The sequence below is a fragment of the Homo sapiens genome, chromosome 7 (genome assembly GCF_000001405.40).
Source record: "Homo sapiens chromosome 7, GRCh38.p14 Primary Assembly".
NCBI lineage: Eukaryota > Metazoa > Chordata > Mammalia > Primates > Hominidae > Homo > Homo sapiens.
In genome coordinates this window covers 145,218,724-145,225,563 of record NC_000007.14, presented here as the reverse complement: position 1 = coordinate 145,225,563, position 6,840 = coordinate 145,218,724, and the positions used below count along the sequence as shown (strand labels likewise).

Genomic DNA, 6,840 nt, shown 5'->3' with positions numbered 1-6,840 from the left:
TGTCTGTGGTCACAGTGATGACTTAGGAGTAAAACTGGGTCTCCTAAGTTAACATGTGTTTTTCTTATCAAGAGTGTCGTCACATTACTGTACTATTTATCAATCTGTTTTTTATTTTGTTTATAGCATTTTAACAAATAATTTTTGAAAATTTTTATATATGCAAAGATACTATACGTTTTCCTTTAGAATTTAACCATTTCCTTTATGCTTAGAAGTCAATTTCTTTTTAGAAATGAGCCCTATCCACCTATATTTTTGTCTAGGTTTTATGGCGCCACAGTTTGCAAGAAAAGTTTTAACACTAGTTCTAAAAGCAGCTGACAAACTGTAAGAAGTGCTTCCTACCCATAGAAATCCTAAAGTTATTTTTTTCTGCATGTTATATTAACTCCCAATTTATTTAGCATTTATTTAAAATACATTCATTAAGTTCCTACAATGTGTTAAATACTGGTAGATAGAAAGAGAGTTTCTATTAGAACGGCGTCAGGATGATAACAGAATGCCACAAAAAAAGAATGTGGAGAATTGTGGGAGAGAATTTCTCCCTTTGCCCCCTGCTTGGAGGTACTTGGCAGGACAGCGGGAAGGAGTAAGTGTTGAGCAGCGGGTAGAGAGAAGTGCAATGGAGGAGAAGCCAAACAATAATGGCTTCAGCAGAAGCATAAAGGGGAAAGAGTGAAGGGGAAATGATTCACATCTGCTGGAACTTAGGACACATGAAGAAAATCATTAAAAATAAGACTAGAGAGCTGGAAATTACACAACATAAAGGTCTCAGAAGGCAAAGGGAATGCATACACTTTACAGCAGAATGATCTCCCCTAAAGGGTTTTTGAAGGAAATTGGAAAGAGTTATGTTTTAGAAACGGTATCATTAAATTGTGATTTGTTTTAAAAAAGACTGAACAATTACATATTTCTAAATTGTAGTACCAAAATAGGTACTCTGACATCTTTTAATACTGTCACATATCATCTCCTGTGATAGCAGATAAGTTGAACTACATCTACAATTTTCTAATGTCAAAAGTAAAAAAGTTCAATCATCAATTTATAGGAAAATAATTACATTGTCCTTTCTCCTCATTATCAGAATACGAAAGAGCCATAAAAACTATCCCTTTTATCCCCACTAACTCACTGTTAGAAGCCCAGAAGCAGAAAAAAAGTCCCCTAAAATTCTGAGGAATTAGTCAAATATAAGCAAGAAGCAAGAAGAGTAGGTGGAAATGGTTTTCTTCTCTATCTAGGTCCCTAGAGATTCCTAAATATTATATTTAATTGTTGATATAAACACTACTCTCCTTTACATTTTTAAATACTTCTCAGGCTCATAATTTTATTTTTGGAGAGACTAATAGTCACATTTTCAGTCACTATGGATGTCTAATTTCTATTCACACATTGGACTTTTTGCTACTATGAAGTTAAATTTAATCTTAAAGTGATTTTTTTCCTGCTGCATTAATTCTCTCTACCACACACAGCATAGTTCAAATCGTGTTGCTCTTCATAGTCTCTCCTGGGGACAAAGTGAACTTCATAGAGCCAGTTTATGGTCCCCTACAGCAATTTTATGAGCCTCAAAGTATGGAGCCATCCCTGTATGATTTTTATATACCTAAGAGAATCAGATTCAGAAGTAATAGGATTTATCTTTGTATTATTTTCCAAGAAATGTTGATATTCCTTCTGCCATACCAGCTCATAATGCCTGGAGATAATTTACCTTAAAAATATTAAATATTGAAAATAAAATCATTTTACATTAATCATGGTCAGATTGAGCAAGATACCCAGGCATAACTAAGGTCTTTATTTGAACTAAATCCTATTATAGAGTTCTATTGTAAATGTGACCCCTAGCTTTTTATGACCAGGCTATAGTTTGAATGAAAAATCTCCTCATTTAAACATAGTTCCAGGAAATGTTTTCCTTGACTTTTATACAAGGGAGTGTTTTACTGCAGCTGCTAGTGGATAAAGTACAAATTTTCAAATCAATGTGTTCAGTGCTTTTGAAGAACTAATTCATTTTTCATAAAGCTAAAATCATACAAATTTATACTCAAGCGTTAAATTCCTGGAAATATCTATTCCAGGATATGTATCTAACTCAGGAAATTAGTAGTTAGTTCTAATTCAATCATTTAAACATTCTGGTTATGCTCTTATAACAACAAAGACAAAACTGTTCATAAATGGTAATTGTTAAAATATTTTATTAACAAGTATAGTTCAAACTTCATGTCATGATAGAATACAAAATATGTGTAGACAGTGTTTTATTAGGCATTAGTGTAAAATTCAACTTAAGCAAAAGTTTTTATAAAAAGAACCATATTGTACCTAAAGGAACATTTATAAAATAAACTGCATTAAAAAGCAATTCAAGGGTAAACTTCAGAAGAACAAGATGCATCTATTGAAATAAACTATGTACATAATATTCAAGCAACTGATTTGATTATCTGAGTTATGGATTAATACAAAAATGTAAATTAGAAATAAGTGCAAGGGATTGGAAAAAGAATATGGTTGTATGTGTACTTACTGACCAGTGATGATAAAAGCCAGTGAGTGAGAAGCTATCTGGTGCAAGGTCAGAAAATGAAAAGTTGACCAACCCCAGAAGTTTAAAAACACACCTTAAAAGGATCTTGCCATTTAAAGCAAAAATAATAGTAATGAATAGTGGTCATTTTAGCATATTTATGAATAAAATATCTGACAGCAATAGCATAAAATGAGAGCAGGTATGAAAGTATATTTTGCACAAATTTCTTAGCTATTGTGCAGTGATACAATATTACTTGGAGACAGACTTATAAAAGATGTACATTAAAACCCTTAAAGAAATCACTGTAATAAAAACAATGAGGTATTGATAGTAAGACACCACAAAGTGAAGAAAAATGGTATCATTAAAAAAACACTTAATGCACCAGAGAACGAGAAAAGTTTTAACAAAGAGGATATGAGACATATACAAAGCCAATAATAAGCTAGTATATTCAAGTCAAACTATATTATTACATTAAATATAAATGGTCTAAATGCTGAATTTGAAAAATCAAAAATTGGCAGTTTCAATTTAAAAGATTTCAATATTCCTCCCAGTGATTGATAGAAAAAAGTAAACAAAAGATAGAAAAATTTATAGCTAAAAGTAGAGAAAAGCAGAAGCAGGAGGTTCATTTAAGGTCAAGAATTCAAGACCAGTTCTGGCAATACAGACCCTGTTTCTGCAATACAAAAAAGAATAAGAAATAATAATAATAAATTTTAAAAATTAAGTTAAAAAATTATCTAGACGTGGTGGTGATTGCCTGTAGTCTTGGCTACTCAGGAGGCTGAGGTGAGAGAATCACTTGAGCTACACTGCAGTCTGGGAGGCAGAGTGAGACCCTGTCTCAAAAGGGAAAAAAACAAAGCAGTCTTCATAAATTTAGGAAGACTGAAAACATACAGCATGTTTTCTCATCACAATGAAATTAAACTAGAAATCAATGACAGAAACATATAGGTAAAATCCCCAAAAATGGAAAACAACAAAATTCTAGCTTACACATGTCATAGAAGAAGTGCAAGGCAATTAGAAAGATATTGAGCTGAAACAAAATTAAATCACAATATATTAAAATTTGTTGGATGTAACTAAAGCAGTGTTTACAGGGAAAATATTAGCAATACATATTTACAGTAAAAATAACAATGATTTCAAATCAACAAACTAAGCTTGCACCCGAAGAAACTAAGAAAACAAGAGCATATTAAACACAAAGCAAGTAGAAAAAAAAACATGTCGGCCGGGCACGGTGGCTCACGCCTGTAATCCCAGCACTTTGGGAGGCTGAGGTGGGGGGATCACGAGGTCAGGAGATCGAGACCATCCTGGCTAACACTGTGAAACCCCGTCTCTACTAAAAATACAAAAAATTAGCCGGGTGTGGTGGTGGGCACCTGTAATCCCAGCTATTCGGGAGGCTGAGGCAGGAGAATGGCGTAAACCCGGGAGGCAGAGCTTGCAGTGAGCCGAGATCGTGCCACGTGAGTTCTTTGTGAAAATGATTGTAAAAATTGATAAAATACTAGGGAGACTTATCTGAAAAAAAGAATTTACAGAGCTATTCTGGTATCACAAATGAAGGAAGGGACATCACTTCAGATTGCATAGACATTAAAAAGATAATAAACATCATGAACAACTTTATCCCAATAAACTTGAAAATTTAGATGAAATTAATAAATTACTTGAAAGACACAAACTAGCAGAGCTCACTCAAGGTGAAGTAGATAACTTGGGTATCTCAACACTTATTATTTTAAATAAATTTGTTGTTAATCTTCCCACAAAGAAAATTCTAGGCCCAAAGGGCTTCAGAGTTGAATTCTACCAAACACTTATGGAAGAAATAATCCCAATTCTACATAAACTTATCTGGGAACTAGAAAAGGAGGAAACTGTTTATTTTTACAAGGAGAGCATTATCCTGATATTTAAACCAGAGGAAAAAAAAAAGACCAAAGAGTATTCTTCATAATGAAAATAATCACAAAAATCCTCAACAAAATATTGGCAATTCAGAAATATTTTTAGAAAACAATGCATCATTACTGATTTCATTACTGAATGCAAAGTTGGTTCAACAATTAAAAATCACTATAATTCATCAAATTATGTTAAAATTTAAAATTAATTACTGATATTAATAGATGAAGAAAAATCACAGGACAAAATTCTACAGTCATCATGATAAAAATTCTATGTAACTGAAAGAAACTTCCCCGAAGTGAAAAAGTAGCTCTACAGAAAGCCTACAACTAACATCATTTCTGTCCTAGTAAAAGAGTGAATGCTTTCTGCTTAGAAACAGGAGCAAAACAAGGGTGCCTGCTCTTACCCTTCCTATGCAGCATAGTACTAGAGGGTCTAGCTATATGACTGCATACATTTGTCAGATCTCACCTACTGTAAAATTAAAATTGGTAAGTTTATTATATATATATATGTCCCCCAATTAAGCAGATTAAATATAAATGAATAAATAAACAGATATACTGGCAATTAGTTAAGTGCAATTTGAATAGAAATCTATAATCCAGGATGACAAGTATATGATTAAAGAAAAAAAAGGGGGGCAAGTTTTAGTTTAAATGTCATCATTGCAAAAAAAAAAAAAAGATAAATTCTAACATAAATAACAAAATAGCATAGAGGCATAATTTAGTAGTCATAGAGATGTCCAATTGTACAAGTCAGAGAACTCTCTGAGCGACTGAAGATAGATTTTCAGACTCCTGGGTTTGAAAACCAGGCTGTGGACCAACACACTGCGTTAGATTTGAGTACTAGTATGCTTACTTTAGCATCCTGGTCAAAGTGTTGTTTCTTGTTTTCTGCCCATGGATTTAACCATGAGCTTGAAATTGAATACTAGTCTCCTTTGAATTGTGCATATTATGTTATGCTTTGAGAGGAATCTGACTTTATCTGGGAAACTTTCTTAGCCCAGTCAAGTTGACTCACAAAATTATTCATCATAGCTAGTATCTGAAACGTGAGGCAACGTTTTACAAATGAGCTCTGTGTTTTCATTTTCTATTCTATTAAATTTTTCACCCCTGGAACAGGCCCTTGTATTAGGCTGCTTTTGCATCGCTACAGATGAATATCTCAGATTGGGTAATTTACAAGGAAAAGCAGTTTAATTGGCTTACAGTTCTGCAGGCTATACGGGAAGCGTGGTGCCAGCATCTGCTTCTGGTGAGAGCCTCAGGGAGCTTACGATGACAGCAGAAGGCAAAGAGGAGCAGACACGTCACATGGCAAGAAAAGGAGCAGCAGAGAGAAGGGGGAGGTTCCAGACAGCTGAAACAATCAGATCTCCCATGAACTGAGCAAGAACTCACTCATCACCAAAGGGATGGTGCCAAGCCATTTGTGAGGGATCTGCCAACCAACATGATGTAATCACCTCCTACCAAGTCCCACCTCCAACATTAGGAAACACATTTTAACTGGGATTTAGACAGAATAAACATTCAAAACATACCAGCCATGAAGAACAGGCCTCTTCAGAAACTGTGTTTTGTTGTTTTCATTGTGTGTCGTCTCAATAACTCATTCGGGAATGGCAATGAAAAATCCCAACTTCAGAAATAACACTGATAAGGCTTATGTATTGTCATGGTGAGGATAGACCTCTAATGTATTCTTTCTTAATACATACAAGCGTGTGTGTACATATGCACATAAGCATAGACACAACCATATTTCACTGAAAATTTCTCATTTGGCAAGCTGCAATGTAATTCAATTCTATATTTCTAAAATCAGTTATTAAAAGTATACATTTATATATAAGCTTCATGTGCTTGGCTGAAGACCTCACATTGTTTCTAAAATTATAGGTAGAAAGTAATTTATAGGTTTATTATTCTCTTGTTTTCATACTAGTATATATCCAATGTGACATATGAACAGGCAGTACTAATCAAAAATTAAATGAAGACTACAAGGTCACATAGAAATTGCTGAAATCAGTGGGGAAATACCTTAATCTGTAGACAGCATCAATTACCATTGTTATGAGACTACATTTTGGCAACTATTGAAACACTATTAAGCATCTCTGGGTCTCTTGATAGTCTGTTTAAGGTAAACCATTGCTGTTCACTGTTCCATCATTTTTAATGAAAGAAACTCTTAGGCCTCAGAAATAAGAAACGTGGCCGGGCACAGTGGCTCACACCTGTAATCCCAGCACTTTGGGAGGCCAAAGTGGGTGAATCACCTGAGGTCGGGAGTTTGAGACCAGCCTGACCAACATG

General features: G+C 34.1%; 1 annotated feature.

Annotated features, from left to right (window-relative positions):
- Positions 335 to 887: an enhancer, noted in NCBI's record as "OCT4-NANOG hESC enhancer chr7:144921770-144922322 (GRCh37/hg19 assembly coordinates)". NCBI's record gives its function as "activates a minimal SCP1, AML or CMV promoter by ChIP-STARR-seq in naive H9 embryonic stem cells {active_cell/tissue: H9 hESC(naive)}" and the evidence as "EXISTENCE:reporter gene assay evidence [ECO:0000049][PMID:30033119]".